Consider the following 19,949-nt stretch of genomic DNA (forward strand, 5'->3'; position numbering starts at 1 on the left):
ACATGTTGTGAGTGCTCTGACTGCTCCAGCAACCAGCTGTTCCCTTGTCTCTTTCTCTCTCCTTGGGCCTGTTTCCTGAGACAGTATTGAAGTTAGGCCAATTAATAAGATTACAATGACCTGTAAGTGTTCAAGTGAAAGGAGGAGTCACACATAGAATATCAGTCCAGCCACAACACTCCCTTAAGCCAAAGCCTAATCTAAAGCAAGGCCCTCTCTTCAATTCTGTGAAAGTTGAGGAAGGTGAGGAAGCTGTCGAAGAAAAGTTTGAAACCAGTAGAGGTTGGTTCATGAGGTTTAAGGAAAGAAGCTGTTTCTGTAACCTAAAGTTACAAGTTGAAGCAGCAAGTACTGATACAGAAGCTGCAACAAGTTATCCAGAAACTCTAGCTGAGATGATTGATGAAGATGGCTACACTAAACAACAGATTTTCAGTGTAGACAAAAAAGCCTTCTATTGGCAAAAGATGCCATCTTGGACTTTCATAGCTAGAGAGAAATCACTGCCTGGCTTCAAAGCTTCAAAGGTCAGGCTGACTCTCTAGTTAGGGTCTAATGTGGTTGGTGACTTTAAGTTGAAGCCAGTGCTCATTGACCATTCTGAAAATCCTAGGGCCCTTAAGAATTATGCCAAATCCTTTGGGAGGCCGAGGCGGGCGGATCACGAGGTCAGGAGATCGAGACCAAGGTGAAACCCCGTCTCTACTAAAAATACAAAAAGTTAGCCGGGCGTAGTGGCGGGCACCTGTAGTCCCAGCTACTCGGGAGGCTGAGGCAGGAGAATGGCGTGAACCCGGGAGGCGGAGCTTGCAGTGAGCCGAGATCGCGCCACTGCACTCCAGCCTGGGTGACAGAGCGAGACTCCGTCTCAAAAAAAAAAAGAATTATGCCAAATCCATTGTGTGCTTTATAAATGGAAATATAAAACCTGGATGATAGCACGTCTATTCATAGCATGGTTTGCTGAATATTTTAAGCCCATTGTTGAGACCAACTGCTCAGAGAAAAAGATTGCTTTCAATATATTACTGCTTGCTAACAGTGTACCTGATTACCCAAGCTCTGATGGAGACACACAAGGAGATTAATGTTGTTTTCGTGCCTGCTAATACAGCATCCATTCTGCAGCTCATGGATCAAGGAGTGTTTTCAACTTTCAAGTATTGTTACTTAAGAAATACATTTTATACGGCTATAGCTGCCATAGATCGAGATTCCTCTGATGGATTTGGGCAAAAGTTGAAAACCTTTTGGAAAGGATTCACCCTTCTGGATGTTATGAAGAACGTTCATGATCCATAAGAGGACAAAATATAAACATTGATAGGAGTTTGGAAGAAGCTGATTTCAACTCTCATGTATGACTTTGAGGAATTCAAGATTTCAGTAGAGGAAGTCACTGCGGATGTGGTAGAAAAATAGCAAGAGAACTGGAATTTGAAGTGGAACCAGAAGATGTAGCTGAATTGCTGCAATCTTAAGTAAAACTTGAACAGATGAGAAGCTGCTTCTTATGGGTGGGCAAAGAAAGTGGTTTCTTGAGGTGGAGTCTCCTTCTGGTGAGGGTATTGTGAACATTGTTGAAATGACAAAAAAGAATTTAGGATAGCAATCAACTTAATTGATAAAGCAGTGGCAGGGTTTGAGAGGATTGACTCCAATTTTGAAAGAAGCTCTATTCTGGGTAGAATGCTCTAAGCAGCATTACATGCTACAGATAAATTTCTTTTTTTTTTTGAGACAGAGTTTCGCTCTTGTTGCCCAGGCTGGAGTGCAGTGCTGCAATCTCAGCTCACCGCAACCTCTGCCTTCCGGGTTCAAGCGATTCTCCTGCCTCAGCCTCCCGAGTAGCTGGGATTACAGGCATGCGCCACCACTCCCAGCTAATTTTTTATTTTTGGTAGAGATGGGGTTTCTCCATGTTGGTCAGGCTGTCTTGAACTTCCGAGCTCAGGTGATCTGCCTGCCTCGGCCTGCCAAAGTGCTGGGATTACAGGCGTGAGCCACTGCGCCCAGCCAATGAATCTTTCATAAAAGGAAGAATCAGTTAATTGATGGGACAGACTTCTTTGCTGTCTCTTTTAAGAAATTGCTACAGCCACCCCAGCCTTTATGAGCTACCATCCTAATCAGTCAGTAGCCATCAACATCGAGGCAAGACCCTCTACCAGCAAAAAGATTATGACTTGTTGAAGAATCAGGTGCTCGTTAGCATTTTTAGCAATATTTTAAAATTAAGGTGTATACATTGCTTTTTTTAAGAAGATATAATGCTGTCACACACTTAATAGACTACAATATAGTATAAGCATCTCTTTTAGAAGCACTACTAGGAAACCCCAAAAATTGTGTGGCTTGCTTTATTGTAGTATTAGCTTTACTGCAGTTGTCTGAAACCAAACCTGCAGTATCTCTGAGTTACGCATGTATAAGAAAATGCACCCCATGCTAAGTGTTTAATTTGTTTTGACAAATTTACAACCACTGTCATTCAGAACATAGACCATCTCCATATTTCCAGAAAAGTTCTCTCATGTTACTTTGCAGTCATTCTGCTGCCCTCCCTAAACTCAAGCTAGTATTGATCTTTCTGTGTCATATGGACTAGTTTTGCCTGTTTTATGATTTCATATAAATGGAATCATATAGTATGTAATTTTTTAAGTTTGGCATTTTTTGTTACTCATGTTATTATGCTTTGTTCATGTTGTCATTACATGTATAAAGGGTTTTTCCTTTTTATTTTTGAATAGTAGTCCATTATCTGAATAATACTGCACTTTATCCATTTATCTGTTGAGAATTCTAGTTCCTGCATATCTTTGCGAATACTCGCCCTACCTCCAGCATTCTAGTAGGTGTGTAGTTGAGTGCAAAATTATTGTGGTCTAGTTTGTTTCCACAGTGACTAATGGCTTTATGCATCTTTTCATGTACTTATGCTTAGAGAGATGACCATATCTGTTTCTTTGAAAAATATGTTCAAAATCCTTTGTTCTTTATTAGATTGTTTTATTGTTGAGTTTTAAGAGTTCTTTATACTTCTGGTTCTATGTATATAATTCCTTTTTCACTTGTATGTACTGCTGATGTATTCTTATGGTCTGGGACTTGGTTTTTCATTTTCTTTGTTTTGTTTTGCGTGTGTGTGTGTGTGTGTGTGTGTGTGTGTGTGTGTTGGAGACTGTCTCTTGCTGTGTGTGTGTGTGTTTTTTTTTTTGGAGACCATCTCTTGCTGTTGCCCAGGCTGGAGTGCAGTGTGGCGCACTCTTGGTTAACTACAACGTCCGCCTCCCAGGCTCAAGCGATTCTTGTGCCTAAGCCACAGGTAGCTGGGATTACAGGCATGCACCACCACACCCGGTTAGGGTTGTTTTTTTCTGGGGGGCGGGGGGGCGGTGTGTGTGTGTGTTTTAGTAAAGATGGCCAGGCTGGTCTCAAACTCCTGGCCTCAAGTGATCCACCGCTTTGGCCACCCAAAGTGCTGGGATTACAGGCGTGAGCCACCACGCCCAGCCTCCTTTTCTTAATAGTGTGTTTTGAAGAGAAGAAATTTCTGATTTTGGTGAAATCCAACTAATTTTTATATTTTATTTATTTTTGGGACAGGGCCTTGCTCTGTCACCCAGGCTGGAGTACAGTGGCATTATCTCAGCTCACTGCAGCTCTACCTCCTGGGTTTAAGTGATTCTTGTTCCTCAGCCTCCCAAGTAGCTGGAATTACAGGTACATGCCACCACACCTGGCTGATTTGTATTTTTAGTAGAGACGGGGTTTCACCATGTTGGTCAGGCTGGTCTTGAGCTCCTGACATCAAGTGATCCGCCAGCCTTGGCCTCCCAAAGCCCTGGGATTTCAGGCATGAGCCACCGTGCCTGGCCCCAATTAATTTTTTTACGATTTGTGTTCTATGTAAGTAATCTTTTCCTATCCCAAGTTCATTAAATTTTTCTCTGGTGTTTCCAGATGTTTAATAGTTGGAGCTTTTTTTACATTGAGATCAGTGATCTTTTTTTTATATAGTGTGAGGTCAGGGTTTACTTTTTTTCCATAGAAATATTTTGTTATTTAAAGACTCTTTGCTGAAAAAATTATTTTTTTCCCCATGGAATTAGTTTGGAATCTTTGTCAATAATTAATTGACCATATATGTCTGTTCCTAGAATTTATCTTTTGTTCCATTGCTCTATATACATTCCTATGCCACTACTACCCTGTCTCATTATAGCTTCATAGTAAAGTTTTGAAAGCTGGTAGTGGTAAATCCTTCAACTTAGTTTTCTTTATATTGTTTTGGCTATTTTAGGTCCTTGGATTTCAATATAAAGTTTTCAGTCAGCTTGTTCGTTTCCACAAAAAGCCTTTTAGGATTTTGATTGGGATTGCGTTTCAATCTGTAGATAAATTTTGAGAGAATTGGCTCTTTTAGCAATATTGCATCTTTTGATCAGTGAGCATGGTATCTCTGTACATTTACTTAGTCCTCTTTACCATTTTTAAAAATTATTTTTCATTTTATTTATTTTTTTAAATAGAGACGAGGTCTGTGTTACCCAGGCTGGTCTCGAACACCTGGGCTGAAGCAATCTGCCCACGTCAGCCTCCCAAAGTGCTAAGATTTAAGACCTGAGCCACCATGCCTGGCCAGGCCTTCTTTACTTTCTCTTGGCAATATTTTGTAGTTTTATTGTCCACATGTTGGACATATTTTTCTGAATTTATCCCTAAGTATTTCATGGTTTAATGCTATTGTAAATAGCATGAAAACTTCTTAAATTTCCAGCTGTTTATCACATTTACACTCAGTTTGTATCTTGTGACCTTGTTAAATTCACTGATTAGGCCTAGTATCTTCTTTTGTAAATAATGTGAGTTTTTCTAAGTATGTTGTTATGTTATCTGCTTATAAATGCAGTTATGTTTTTTTCCCCTTACCTATATGCTTTCTACATCTTTTTCTTCTTTATTGTACTAACTAGACCTTCTAAATAATGTTGAATAGAAGGAATGACAGTAGACATCATCCTTTCCTTATTCCTGATATTAAGGGAAAGTGCTCAGTCTTTCACCCTTAAGTATGATGTCAGCTGCAGGGTTTTTGTTTTTTTGGTTTTTTTGTCAATGCCCTTTATTAAGTTTGAGGAAGTTTCCTTCTATTCTAGGTGGTTTAAAGTGCTTTATGTTTTTATTTCTTTAATCATGAATGGTTGTTGATTGTGTCAAATTCTTTTCCTGCGTATGTAGAGATGTTCATGTGGATTTTCTCCTTCATTCTGTTAACAACATAATTACTGTTGAATTTTTAGAATGTTAAACCAACTTTACATTATTAAAATAAACCCTAGTTGGTTGTCATTTGTTATCCTTTTGATATATTGCTAGATTTGATTTGTAATGTTTCATTGTTGTTTTGTGTCTATGTTCATGAGTGATATGAGTATGTAGTTTTCTTGTAATGTCTTTTATCTGGTTTTCATATCAGAGTAATGTTGGCCTCCTAAGACGAGTTGAGAAGTGTTTCCTCCTCTGTTTTCTGAAAGAATGTGCAGGAATTGGATTATTTCAAAGAATTAGCTTTTGGTTTTATTGATATTCTTTTCTAATATAAGCATTTAAAAGTGTTAATTTCTAATTACTAGTTAGACATGTTTTTATTATTTAGCTTTACAAGCTTCAGGCTTTTCCTTTAAAGGTGTTGAGCATGTTTATAAATATTCTAAGGACCTCATATGCTAATTTTAACATCTTCGTCATTTCCTACTGATTTGTCTCCTTAGTAGCATTCAGATTCGTCTGATTCTTTATTTTGTCACCCTAGACTCTGTCCCCAGACAGATTATGCTTTTGATTGTTTGTTTGGCTAGCAAGTATTTTTCATTTCTTCTATGCTCATTTATCTCTCATGTTGAAAAGTGAGGGAAAATAGATTCTGTCATTAACAAAACAGATTTAATCCTAATTTGAGCAATAAAATAATTAAAATAGGCTGTTCCCTTAGAAAATATATATTTTTTAATTTTTTGGTATATAATTTTATAGTGATGGTACTTGCTGGGATTGATTGATTTGTTACAAAAACTGTTTCGGAATTCCAACAATATACATTAATAGTCTTAGGATAATTCTAGGATGTTATCTTTTGCAAACAAATGGCAGCCACTTAGGAACTCATGGAGGCTGACAGGGGCAGCATGGCACCACAGCAGTTTCTAATTTAAGAGCAGGTGCCGATAAGCAGTCTGAAAGGAGCTTTTGGTACAATAAAGTGTATGAGTAAGTCACACTGTTCTGTATATATGAGACACACATGAGGAATTTTCTGGAGCTATTAATACAGTTCTTGAATGTTCTGAATTTTTTAGAGATCTTTCTCATGAAAAAACTTTTTCAGATTGATAGGTTATATGATTGGAAAAAGAGTCCTGACTCTGATGTGGCTGCTACTTTAAAGAAGCAGAAAAAGAATACAAAAGATGAATTTGAGGAGCGAGCAAAGGCTATTATTGTAGAATTTGCACAGCAGGTAAGAAGGCCTTCCTTCTTTCTGAAGAGCCTATCTCAGAATATGTATTATATTATCTTTATAATGAAGTCAGCATTTTCATTAATACTGGTTCTTTTCCTCTGTTGACAGCAATTACTTTTTTTAAATTCTTCTTCCCTTTTCTCCTTTTTCTTTGCAGTCTGAATACTTTAATTTAGAAAACTGAGTTGACTTAGAACTACTTTGCTATAATACAGTTAATGCTTATAGGATATACATGATCATTTTTAGTGTTTATGAGGAGTTTCAAAATGATGAGCCATTTGCTCATCCGGCTTCTAGTGAGGCACACCTATTCCAGATACGTTTTCTTTACAGCCTGGCATTTTGGATGATTTTTGCTCCTAGGGTTTGAATGCTGCTTTGTTTTATGAGAATAAAGATCCCCGCACTTTTGTGTCTTTGGTACCTACCTCTGCACATACTGGTGATGGCATGGGAAGTCTGATCTACCTTCTTGTAGAGTTAACTCAGACCATGTTGAGCAAGAGACTTGCACACTGTGAAGAGCTGAGAGCACAGGTGATGGAGGTAATGATCAACTTTTCAGTTTATTGTTTTTTTTTTTTTTAAAAATAGCAAGTTCCTTGAGTGGAGGATATTTACTACTTTTAGATTTAATGAACATGGTGCATTGTATGTATGTCTTTCTCTTTGCATTAATGCCTTTTAGGTTAAAGCTCTCCCGGGGATGGGCACCACTATAGATGTCATCTTGATCAATGGGCGTTTGAAGGAAGGAGATACAATCATTGTTCCTGGAGTAGAAGGGCCCATTGTAACTCAGATTCGAGGCCTCCTGTTACCTCCTCCTATGAAGGAATTACGAGTGAAGGTATGCTGAGGTGGGAAGCATTGACACGTGGGGACTTGTACAGTGTTTAGAAGTTCTGCTGAGATGGTTTCCTCACTTTGAAAGCTGTTTGACTTAATACAGAACACATACATCCCTCGCTCTCCCTTTTATTTTAGTTGTCATCATACAGGAAGGCCTGTCTGTCAGAGTAGAGATGTGTGAAAGTACCTGCTTACCAGACTGGGCCTTTGCCAGATTCTAAACTACACTGTTATGGTTCTACACTGCTAAATACGGTTGACTCTTGAACAACATGAGGGCTAGGGGCACTGACTCCCTGGCCAGTTGAAAATCCACATATATTTTTTGACTCCCCAAAAACTTAACTCCTAATAGCCTACCATTGACCAGAAGCCTTACCAATCACATACACAGTCGACTAACATGTTTTGTATGTTTTATATATTACATACTGCATTCTTACAGTAAAACAAGCTAGAGAAAAGAAAACGTGATTAAGAAAATCATAAGGAAAATAGATTTACTATTTGTTAAGTGGAAGTGGATCATCATAATGGTCCTCATTCTCATCTTCATGTTGAGTAAGCTGAGAGGGAAGAAGGAGAGGGGTAGGCCTTGCTGTGTTTGGTGGCAGAGGCAGAAGAAAATCTGAGTATAAGTGGACATATGCAGTTCAAGCCCATTTTGTTCAAGGGTCAGCTGTAGTTTTTTAACATTTTTAATTGTGAAATAAAACATTGCTCCTGAAAAGTACACACAACATAGAAGAAAAGTTTAACACATTTTTGGGAAGCAACCAGATGGAGAATCAGAACGCTGCTGGCACCCAGAAGCTTCCTGTGTGCTTCTTCCTGATCAACTCCCCTGCCTTCCCCTCCTACCCCCTGACCTTTCATAGAGTTAACCATGGTTGCATTTTATGACAGTAACAAATATCCTTGCTTTGCTTTGTTTTTGTGTCTAAGAGTACTTCCCTTAGAAGTGTCTGTAGACTTTATGTAGAAATGGAGTTATTCTCAGTGTGTACTTTTATAGCTGGCTCTTTTTTTTTTTTTTTTTTTGGTGATAGGCTCTCACTGTCACCCAGGCTGGAGTGCAGTGGTGCAGTCACAGTTCACTGCAGCCTCAACCTCCCCGGGGTTCAGGTGATCCTCCCACCTCAGCCTCCTGAATAGTTGGGACTATAGGTACGCACCACCACACCTGGCTAATTTGTTTACAGATGGGACTTTGTCATGTTGCCCAGGCTGGTCTTGACCTCCTGGGCTCAAGCAATCCACCCACCTTGATCTCCCCAAAGTGCTGGGATTATAGGCATGAGCCACCATGCCTGGCCTATATCTGGCTTCCTTTAGTGAAAAAAAAAAAGTATATAATTTTAAGATTTCTATTCCATTGTGTGACTATATCACAACATATCTATCTGTTCTGTTGATGGGAAATGTAGGTGATCTCCAGTTTTTTATGTTTATTTTATTTTATTTTATTTTGAGATGGAGTCTCAGTCTGTCATCCAGGCTGGGATTACAGGTGCACGCCACCACACCCGGCTAATTTTTGTATTTTTAGTAGAGGTGGGGTTTTGCCGTGTTGGCCAGGCTAGTCTCGAACTCCTGACCTCAGCCTCCCTAAGTGAGCCACCGCACCCGGCCCAGTTTTTGATTTTTGTTGTTACTAATAATGCTGCTGCTGTGAACATCTCTTGATGTGTTTGTGCCAGTTTCCCAGGGTATGTATACCTAGGAGTGAAGGCCACACTTGTCTACAGTGGGTGTAACAAATTATATTCTCAACTGCAGTATTTTAGTTTCATTGTTTTACAGCTTCATCAGTTCTTGGATGTTAGGTTTTAAATTTTTTTTGCCATTCTGCTAAGTGTGTAGCTCATTGCCGTTTCAGTGTGCATTTGCCTAATTGTTAACCTGGTTGGTCATTTAAAAATGTTTATTGGCCATTTATTTCCTCCTTCGTGAGATGTACATTTTTCTTCTGCATTATCTTTCTTACAGATTTATATGCGCTTATATATTCAGGATACCGGTTTGTTAGTTGGTGTGTTTTGCAATATCTTCTACTCTTGTGACTTTTTTTTTCCTGTGGTATTTTGAGAAATGGAAATATTTAATTTTAATGTTAAATTTATCAGTCTTGTGATTATTGCTTTTTGTGCCTCGTTTAAGAAACCTCTCTCTAATATCATGATGAGATTCTCTTATATCATCTTCTACTGCTAACCACTTTTAAAGTACATTTGGTAACAAATGTTTTTATCTCTGTAGAACCAGTATGAAAAGCATAAAGAAGTAGAAGCAGCTCAGGGGGTAAAGATTCTTGGAAAAGACCTGGAGAAAACATTGGCTGGTTTACCCCTCCTTGTGGCTTATAAAGAAGATGAAATCCCTGTTCTTAAAGTAAGTTCATTTAAAAATTTTTTTCCTTAAAAGCTATTTGAGTTCTGGCATGTGTCAGCATTGCACATGCTAGGGATGGTGACCAAAACTGGCTTTGTCTTTGTGAAGCCTGCCATTTCTTGGCCTCTTAGCAAACTTGATGCTTTTGAATTACTTCAGTTTGTACAATCATAGAAATTGGTATAATTTTTATATGTACTAGAATTATAAAAATAATGCATTTTATTCAAATAAAAAAATGAGTCAAAAGCTAGAAGTCGGCTGGGCATGGTGAATGCACACCTGTAGTCCCAGCTACTTGGGAGGCTGAGGCAGGAGAATCACTTGAACCTGGGAGGCAGAGGCTGCAGTGAGCCAAGATCGTGCCACTGCACTCCAACCTGGGTGACAGCAGGACCCTGTCTAAAAAAAAAAAAGCTAGAAATTGTATATTCTTTTTGGCCCATGTCCATTGTAGTTTCATAAAAGTGGACTTTGAGCCATAGTTTGTTCATTTGCCAAAGAGAAAATACAACTGTTCCCAGCACATGGCTCTTGTGTCCTGGGGCCGTGTTTATTATTTAGGCAGCATCAAGTCATGCTGTTGGGAATAAGCTATCTTAGGGCCAGTGAGAGAATAGGGCAGGCCTGTCTCTTCACCCAGTCCTGAGTATGGAGTGGACTTACGTCCCTTCAGTGGCATTGATAAACTTGTTTTACTTATTTCTGGTTAAAAATCTCTTCTTCCATTTCCCGACAAGCAGTGATGGAGGAAGGAGCTGCTGAGATCATGAGATTATGGTATTTCCTAGTTAACACAGACAAGCTGAACTTTTGGGCTATCATAACACATTACGTTTATGTGGTACTTTTTTAACTTTAAAAAAATTTTTCTTCTCTACTGTTTAATTCTGCCCACCCATCTACTGTATTTGCCAAGTGGAGCGGAGATTAAACATATTTCAAAGTTAGTAAACCTAAGACAAAGGTGAAGCGAAATACAGTTAGGGTATGGCCCCGAAATCTCCTCCTTCATTCCAGCACAGGTTCTGTGATGCCTTGCTCTATCTAAGCCTTAGTTTCATATTTGCAGATGAGTACTTAACCAAAGAGAGAAACACAATTTAATTCTAGACTGCTGAGGATAGAGGTGTGTTGACAACCTTATCAAATCTGATTTCTTTTCAAGGATGAATTGATCCATGAGTTAAAGCAGACACTAAATGCTATCAAATTAGAAGAAAAAGGAGTCTATGTCCAGGCATCTACACTGGGTTCTTTGGAAGCTCTACTGGAATTTCTGAAAACATCAGAAGTGCCCGTAAGTAACTACAACTCGCTCCACAAGTGAATGGTGGTTGGTCGTGGTTTTTGGTGCCATCGCCATTACCTGATACATACAGATAAACATGGAAACTCCCATTTTTTCAGTATGCAGGAATTAACATTGGCCCAGTGCATAAAAAAGATGTTATGAAGGCTTCAGTGATGTTGGAACATGACCCTCAGTAAGTAATTTCTCTTGCTATGAAGGCTTTCATGTTACGTAGCTATCTTAAAACTGTCCTATCTTAAAAAACTGTCCTCTGTGACATACTCTGTTTTTCACTGAATGGTCTTTGATGTGTTTTAACCTTTTAGGTATGCAGTAATTTTGGCCTTCGATGTGAGAATTGAACGAGATGCACAAGAAATGGCTGATAGTTTAGGAGTTAGAATTTTTAGTGCAGAAATTATTTATCATTTATTTGATGCCTTTACAAAATATAGACAAGACTACAAGAAACAGAAACAAGAAGAATTTAAGTAAGTTACTGTTTTTATTTACTTTGAGTCTTTGTTAATGAACATGATTGAGAATTACTGAATTCCAGAAAGGGCTGTAAACAGCAAAATCATGGCATTTACTCATCTACCAGAGGCTGCATCCTGAAATGGTGTGTTACAAACCAGAAACCCAACATACTGGGGACATTCCAGCAGTATGCAAACAAGTCTTGTCTGTGACTTCAGTTTAATAATCTTGGCAGACTTGGGTCTTGTTAATGGGTTCGTAGTTATTAAATGTAGGGACTTTATGTTGCTCATCTGGGATTATATAGATTGGAAGTAACAAAACTTGAGTGAGGAAAACCGGGAAATAAGAGATTCTGTGGGAGAGAAGTCCATTCCTCTACCAAACTTTCACTCAAGCACTCACAGTACCTACATTGCTGCAGTGGTAGAGGAGGCATCAGCAGAGAACCAGGCCAGCCTCCCTCCTCCTTTCCCTTTGAGACAGGGTCTCGTTCTGTCACCCATGCTGCAGTACAGTGGCATGATCATGGGTCACCCCAACCTCTGCCTACTGGGCTCAAGTGATCCTCCCACCTTGGCCTCCCGAGTAGTTGAGACTACAGGCTCACACCACTATGCCTGGCTAATTTTTTGTATTTTTGGTAGAGATAGGGTTTCGCCATGTTGGCCAGGCTGGTCTTGAACTCCTGAGCTCAAGTGATCCACCTGCCTCTGCCTCCCAAAGTGCTGGGATTATAGGTGTAAGCCACTGTGCCTGGTCTGGGACATGCTCTTATTGCAGGACAATTGACACATGTTGAGAAGTGCTGAAAAACCAAATAAAGCAGGGAAGGGCCTAGATAAGGAGAGGAGGGACTGTGATTAATGATGTGGTTTGGGAAGGCATCTCACCTCTTCAGACAGAGTAAGCCACACAGGCACATGGGGAGTGTCCAGAGAGAACAGCAGTGCGAGGCAGAGTGACCAGAAGGGACAGTGATAAATGAGGTCAGAGAGGGTGGCAGGACCTGTATCGTCAAGGATCTTACAGGCCATGGGAGGGATTGAGCTTCTCTGAGTTTTGCAAGAAGCCATTGCCAAGGCTGTGTGTTCACAATCAGACTGGTTAATTGGGTTGTTATGTGGACCTTGGGTTGTTAGGAAGTCAGTGGCAAGAGCCTGTCAGGAGGCTCCCACAGTCCAAGCAAGAGGTCTAGGTGATTCAGACCACAGTGATGATAGGAGTGATGGCGTAGTTTGGGATACATTTTTAAGTGGAGCTTACTAGTAAATATTAGGATTTAGACTGGTATATGCTCACTTTAGATCATGAAACCTGAAGTGAGAAGAATTCTACTTAACAAGACTGCTGGAAACTTTTAAAGCATTTTAAGCGTGTGCTCAATAAGCAGGGTAGTTATGTAGTGGCCTTTTGGATCAATGGTTTGGGAACGTGGTGGAGAAAAGGAGGGTGATAATACGGTCTGATGCCTATGTGATCCCCCAGTAGCCTACATATGTGCCTAACGAAGACCTGCCTGTCACCAGGTACTGCCTAGGTTCTAAGCCCCAGACTGTGGCTGACATCTTCAGCAGCCAAGCTCAGTGTTTTAGACTAGGAACAGAATGCTCCTGTGATGCAGCTTCTTTTGGAGGTAGGGCTTTAAAAGAGAAGAAAGCAAAGACTTGGGAAGCAACAGAATGGGGAGGAGGAGGTTAAGAACAAGGAAGAAGCGCTCTGGGCATGGGGTGGCCCTGGGCTGCAGCACCCTGCCTGCCCCTCTCCTGTGGCCGCTGGGGAAAGCTGCTTTCCTCTAATGGGAGAAGCCTGATGTTCAGCTGCAGTTTTTCTTTTTATGTTTAAGTGATTCTGTAAGCTTAAAATTCTTTTCTTTTTTCCTTTCAGGCACATAGCAGTATTTCCCTGCAAGATAAAAATCCTCCCTCAGTACATTTTTAATTCTCGAGATCCGATAGTGATGGGGGTGACGGTGGAAGCAGGTCAGGTGAAACAGGGGACACCCATGTGTGTCCCAAGCAAAAATGTAAGTTCTAGTTGTACATTCTGTGGGTCATTTCTTAAAGCACTAAATGAGTGTCCAAGAGTCGTACCAACACAGCTTTGTGCCTGTAGTTCACAGTACTGTGCTGTGTATTTAGTGTGGTCTCCACCTTCTTAACAAATGTTTCAGTGTTTTTACCTCAGTAGGAAGAAAATGTGGTAACTTTAAAACAAGCAGAGCCTGTCACCTTCTGTTGTGCTTCAGTATTGGTAAATATCAGTGCTCCATAGTCAGTGTTGACTCAGTGCTGATCTCAGTGCTTCAGTTAATTGGGGCTCCAAGGCACTTTACATTATTGCCTTTTATTTTATTTTGAAAGGTTTCAAGCCTGTGGAAAAGTTTAAAAACTAGTATAATGAACACTCATGTTTACCTTCCCTTTCTGTCAGCATACCTAAGAAAAATTAATAATATTTCAACAATATCCTATAATTTGCAGCCCTCAACATTATTTCACCAGTTATTCCAAAGATGTTTTGGTAACTCTCCCCACCAATCTGGCCCAGTGCCCTGCAAGCTGCATTGCACTGGGGCTTGTTTTGTGGCTGAGCCTCAGTCAAGAACAGTCCTCCATTCTTTTTGAAGTGTCCCTGTTGTTTTGCAAATCCCTCCTCCATTTGGATTTATCTGTTTCTCTCCCTCCCAACTAGACACAGGTTAGAATTATTGGAAAGACACTCATGCAGTTTCCCTGTGTGCCTGCCTCTTGCATGACCCAGCCTGTCTGACTGCTGCTGATGCTCTGATTTCCTGGGGAAAGTGCTAGACGCCAACCATCTCCATTAGAAACTTGCCCCTTTATAATTACTCTGTAATCTGTCTGGTACCTGGAGTTCCTAATGGATATCCTGTTTCTCAACAGCCTTTATCCCAGTGCCTTTAGTACCCACTGGCAAGCGTTGCCTAAGTCAACTATTACGTAGATGGTTGCAAAATTGTGGATATACCTGTCCCCCCATTTCTTACAAAGAACCTCTTCCCACTGACCTTTTTATTGAGTCATAGACTCAGTGGGTTTTTTTTTTTTTAATATAATCCATTACCTTTATTCTTTTGATACTCAGATTTTCTATTGTGGTCAGTAGGAGCTCAACTGGCTCCTGTATCCTTGACACACAGCAGTCTGAGCATCATCTTCCTTTCTGGTTGAGATGTTCCAGCCTCATCTAGTACTTTCCCTGGCCCAAACCTGGTTCTTGTAATGGGCAATGGCACTTAGAAGTTGTCATTGCTTTTCTACCATTTCAGTGGACTAAGCCTGGACATTTATTTGTGTTACTTTCTATGTGGCTTTGGCCTCCTAAACCAACCAGAGCTCTCCCTGTTTTCACTCTTACTCTCCTGAATCTTTTTCTCCACAAAGGAGTCAGGGTTTTTTGCCCCAAACTCTGAGATCACATCACTCATCTGCTCACAGGCCATCATTCTTAAAATTTCAGGATTGGTCCTCACTCTGACTTCATTCCCATCAGCCACTTCAAGCTCATTCCTGACTCAGACCCTTTGTGCCTGCTGATCCCTCCTATTACGGCACCTGTCACGTGAAATGGTAGAGCAAAAATAGGAAATGACATTGGGTCAACAGGGCACTTGGAATGTTTTGCAAAGCACATTATCTCCTGTCATTCTTACAACCATCATGAAGGGAATAGGGTGTTGGTGGTGCCAGCCTAGTTTACCAAAATGTTACACCGTGAGTGATGAAAGGATCGCACTGCCATGACTTTTAAAACAGGCTTTTGCTCTAGTTCTTACTTCAGCTATCCAGCCATGGCGCCTGTGATTGGCATGAATTCTTCTGCATGCATTTTAATTTGTTCTTATTTTATAGTTTGTTGACATCGGAATAGTAACAAGTATTGAAATAAACCATAAACAAGTGGATGTTGCAAAAAAAGGACAAGAAGTTTGTGTAAAAATAGAACCTATCCCTGGTGAGTCACCCAAAATGTTTGGAAGACATTTTGAAGCTACAGATATTCTTGTTAGTAAGGTAAGTATTTCAGCAAAAGTGGCACACTTTAAGCAACAGGGAATCACTCTTCTTGGGTCACCTGTACCTGTAGCTCCTTGGGCTTCAGTTTGATTGTAGAATCTGATGGGACTGGATCCCCCATTAGGGCTTGACCTCTAGCTGGGCCTTGTCTGTTGAGGAAGTTGCTCTATCAGGAAAGCAGCACCAACAGAGAAAGCTAGGACTTTTAGGTCCCCTCGTGCCTGACATGCAAACCAGATGTGATTTTGGAATTCTACTCCCTTAGGCAGGCAAGCCCTGTTTTTTATTTCTGCTTAAGCTTTTTAGTACAGTGAGAGCGGGCATCTGGGGCCACAGCTTTCTTTGGCACGTTTGTTATGTTCTGTTTACCCTGTTTGTGCCTCGGGCATTGCAGATCAGCCGGCAGTCCATTGATGCACTCAAAGACTGGTTCAGAGATGAAATGCAGAAGAGTGACTGGCAGCTTATTGTGGAGCTGAAGAAAGTATTTGAAATCATCTAATTTTTTCACATGGAGCAGGAACTGGAGTAAATGCAATACTGTGTTGTAATATCCCAACAAAAATCAGACAAAAAATGGAACAGACGTATTTGGACACTGATGGACTTAAGTATGGAAGGAAGAAAAATAGGTGTATAAAATGTTTTCCATGAGAAACCAAGAAACTTACACTGGTTTGACAGTGGTCAGTTACATGTCCCCACAGTTCCAATGTGCCTGTTCACTCACCTCTCCCTTCCCCAACCCTTCTCTACTTGGCTGCTGTTTTAAAGTTTGCCCTTCCCCAAATTTGGATTTTTATTACAGATCTAAAGCTCTTTCGATTTTATACTGATTAAATCAGTACTGCAGTATTTGATTAACCAAGCTTCTGCAGATTTTGTGATTCTTGGGACTTTTTTGACGTAAGAAATACTTCTTTATTTATGCATATTCTTCCCACAGTGATTTTTCCAGCATTCTTCTGCCATATGCCTTTAGGGCTTTTATAAAATAGAAAATTAGGCATTCTGATATTTCTTTAGCTGCTTTGTGTGAAACCATGGTGTAAAAGCACAGCTGGCTGCTTTTTACTGCTTGTGTAGTCACGAGTCCATTGTAATCATCACAATTCTAAACCAAACTACCAATAAAGAAAACAGACATCCACCAGTAAGCAAGCTCTGTTAGGCTTCCATGTTAGTGTAGCTTCTCTCCCACAAGTTGTCCTCCTAGGACAAGAATTATCTTACAAACTAAACTATCATCACACTACCTTGTATGCCAGCACCTGGTAACAGTAGAGATTTTTATACATTAATCTTGATCTGTTTTAATCTTGATCTGTTTTAGTAGAGATTTTTATACATTAATCTTGATCTGTTTTAATCTTGATCTGTTTTGTCCTAGAAAATTCCATCATACACACATTTCCTGATATTTGGGCTTAGTGCTTCTAAATTGTTGCAGACACAAAACTTAATGATTCATTCGTAGTAGTAATCTGTAGCTAGTTTTAGGGTTTTGCTGAAGTCAGTGTGGGGTGTTTGTTTGAGGAAAAAGTTCCAAATATCCACTAGCATAGAATTTTAAACTATTTTTATTTTAAAGTTATGGCATAACATATAACATAAAAATATTTTATATACGTTTGAAAAATCTATACCGTTCTTTTTTATCATCAAAGTTTCTCAATGGCCAGTAGAAGCAAAAAGACAACACCACCTCTGATCTACGGGACATAATGTTCCCAGGAAAAAAATCTTCAAGTGGGTGTGAGGGTGTTTCTAATTCAAAATATGTAGATTTCTCCGCATGGAAGAAGTAGTAAAGATTTTCTTAACATGCTCCTGTGTTCATGCTTGGAGACAAGAATAAGATGGTTTAGAAGCTTTACCCTTTCTTGGAACAAGTAGAATCCCGGTCTGAGACCTCTCAGGAATTTCAGAGCTTAGCAGTCTGGCCTGGAGGTTTTTCAGCCTTTTAGTATAATAAACAGTAGTTGCTTCCTAGAGTTGAGTTTTTAAGGATTCACAAAAAGGAGCCTGTACAAAATATACATACAGTTCTTTATTAAACAACTGTAAACACTTCACTGTAAAAATCCATAAAACTTTATAAACAAACATTTTGTAAATAGAATCTATGCTACAGTAAAATAATTAACACAATTATTTACATGCAATACTGACAAATTTGGCACTTTTTGAAAAGAAATGTACAAAACACTTGCTTTAAAAGAAATTTAAAATTATAAAAACTCCGAGCATTACTATCATGCACTTTGCAAATACCTCACAAGCACTTATGGCACAGCTATCAGAGAGCATCAGGCTCTCTGGTAATATTTATGTAACTTTTAATGTGCTTCCATAAGTTTGTTGTAAAACCACCTGGACATTGTCAAGAATAAAGTCAAATGCCATATTCCAAACCGATTCCACCGATTGCTGCATCAGCCTAAAGGTGGGGAGAGAAGAAATGTCATTAGGAATTAGGAAAGGTCCTTAAGACTAATTATTCCTTTTTATATATAAAAATTGACTTTGGCAAAAAAAAAAAAAAGTCCTGGCCAGGTGCGGTGTGGCTCATGCCTGTAATCCCAGCACTTTGGGAGGCCGAGGAGGGCGGATCACCTGAGGTCAGGAGTTTGAGACCAGCCTGGCCAACATGGTAAAACCCCGTCTCTACAAAAAATAGAAAAATTAGGTGGGCATGGTGGCACATGCCTATAATCCCAGCTACCCGGGAGGCTGAGGCAGGAGAGTCACTGGAACCCAGGAGGCAGAGGCTGCAGTAAGCCAAGATCCTGCCACTGCACTCCAGCCTGGGCGACAGAGTGAGACTCCATCTCAAAAAAAATAAAATCCTAGAACACTCAAATTTTTTTTTATTTTGTTTTGAGACAAGCTGTCGATCAGGCTGGAGCCATGCAGTGGTGCAATCATGGTTCACCGCAGCCTCCACCTCCCAAGTAACTGGGACCACAGGTGGGCACCACCACCCCCCCAGATTATTTATTTTTTGTATTTTTCAGTAGAGATGGGGTTATGCCATTTTGGCCAGGCTGGTCTCAAACGATCCACCCACCCCAGCCTCCCGAAGTGAAGTACAGGCGTGAGCCACTGTGCCCAGCCCACTTCCTATGGTTTTTTAATCACATGTAAGACCTTGAGGGCAACATATTTGGAACCTTATTTGCTACTTAGTCAACATGGCAAAATAAAGGATATCACTTTCTCATTAACCCTAATGAGTACAGTTTCCCAGAAAGTTTAAAACAACTCAGTACACCCTCAGCCATTGTGACATGCCATTTTTTCCCATTTGATAAAAGTGATGAATTACTACCTTTTCATGTATTTTATAACTAGATCCAGTTTTTCCAAATCTTTTTCTTCTATTAGATCAGTACAGTATTTCACAACTTGGAGAATGTCTTCTTCCATTGGATCTAGGAAGGGGGAAAAACTTCAAATGAGGACCAGTCTTTTTGAAGGAGAAAGTCAGAGATCTGCATGGATAAAGGAAAACTGCATTTCTACAACTATGTCACTAACAGCTATCAAAGGAATGGGCTTTGTTACTTTTCAAAGCAAGTCCCAGAATTTAAAAGATTTGGGGGTAGCTGCTTTAAGCTTATCAGAGTTAGAGAAATGGGTTAAATCTGCATAGTTTAGTCTGTTTATGTTCTCAAATCATGAGACGACTACATCTCAGCCTTGGGCCATCTAACACAGGCCAAGCCAACCTGAAATTGTAGTTATCCATTCTCTGAGCAAGGTCTTCACATCATTGAATTCAACAGCTCCAGCTAGATTGGGTGCTGGAGGTCTCACACAGCCAGCTGGGTCAGACTGCAAACTAGAAAGGCCTGGCACACCTGAAGTAGAAGCAGAGAGTTCTTCCTGTTAAGAAAACAAAGGATAAAATTGCTATATTCACACATTATCCAGGTATATTAAGATCTCATAAAGGTCAAAGTTAAGGAATTACCAGGGGTTTCTCTGCAGGAGGTCCTTCATGTTTTAGAAACCCATCAATTAACTTCTGGGGACTGCCACAGGCCCCTGGCAGAGTTTTTGCAGGACTGTTAAGCAGCTTGTTATTCAAAGGACTCTGAATCCTTTTTGGTGAACCAATGGTTTTTTTCTTCTTGTTTCTTTTCTTTTCTTTCACTGCTGCCTTTAGATGAAGTAAAGGATTCTTTGGCACTAAGAGCAGATGGATATAAGATCCTCAACAAAATGATAGTATGGATAGTCTGGATGACAGTATTGGGTTCTCTTTTCTCCTCCCAAATACAACAGGCTCCCTAGCCTACACCTCCCCTCCTGCCCCAAGTGAGAGGCAGTGAATGGCAATGGCCCAAAGTACAGGCTC

General features: G+C 40.0%; 2 protein-coding genes across 26 annotated transcripts in view; one reads left to right on the forward strand and one right to left on the reverse strand.

The window, feature by feature from the left end:
• EIF5B (eukaryotic translation initiation factor 5B) overlaps positions 1-18,000 on the forward strand; it is a 63,938-nt gene extending 45,938 nt beyond the window's left edge. Inside the window, exons 15-24 of the mRNA NM_015904.4 lie at positions 6,392-6,523; positions 6,893-7,075; positions 7,218-7,379; positions 9,641-9,772; positions 10,941-11,072; positions 11,183-11,259; positions 11,393-11,557; positions 13,434-13,572; positions 15,422-15,583; positions 15,981-18,000. Coding sequence (NP_056988.3) covers positions 6,392-6,523; positions 6,893-7,075; positions 7,218-7,379; positions 9,641-9,772; positions 10,941-11,072; positions 11,183-11,259; positions 11,393-11,557; positions 13,434-13,572; positions 15,422-15,583; positions 15,981-16,088 — 1,392 coding nt within the window. The 3' untranslated portion in view covers positions 16,089-18,000. The remainder of the gene's footprint in view (positions 1-6,391; positions 6,524-6,892; positions 7,076-7,217; positions 7,380-9,640; positions 9,773-10,940; positions 11,073-11,182; positions 11,260-11,392; positions 11,558-13,433; positions 13,573-15,421; positions 15,584-15,980) is intronic.
• Positions 17,151-19,949, reverse strand: part of REV1 (REV1 DNA directed polymerase) — an 89,726-nt gene continuing 86,927 nt past the window's right edge. For 22 of the 25 annotated variants that reach the window (NR_135651.2, NR_135653.2, XM_017004311.2 and 19 more), the window contains 4 exons: positions 19,563-19,780; positions 19,318-19,474; positions 18,918-19,020; positions 17,151-18,026 (listed from right to left, as the gene is read on the reverse strand). Coding sequence is in view for 20 of the 25 variants with exons in the window: in XM_017004311.2 (XP_016859800.1) it covers positions 17,915-18,026; positions 18,918-19,020; positions 19,318-19,474; positions 19,563-19,780 (590 nt within the window). In the remaining 5 variants the exon portion in view is untranslated. Of the gene's footprint in view, positions 18,027-18,917; positions 19,475-19,562; positions 19,781-19,949 lie in introns of all 25 variants that reach the window. The other 3 variants (NR_135652.2, NR_135649.2, NR_135650.2) reach the window with 1 other exon arrangement.

This window comes from Homo sapiens, chromosome 2, assembly GCF_000001405.40.
Source record: "Homo sapiens chromosome 2, GRCh38.p14 Primary Assembly".
Classification (NCBI taxonomy): Eukaryota; Metazoa; Chordata; class Mammalia; order Primates; family Hominidae; genus Homo; species Homo sapiens.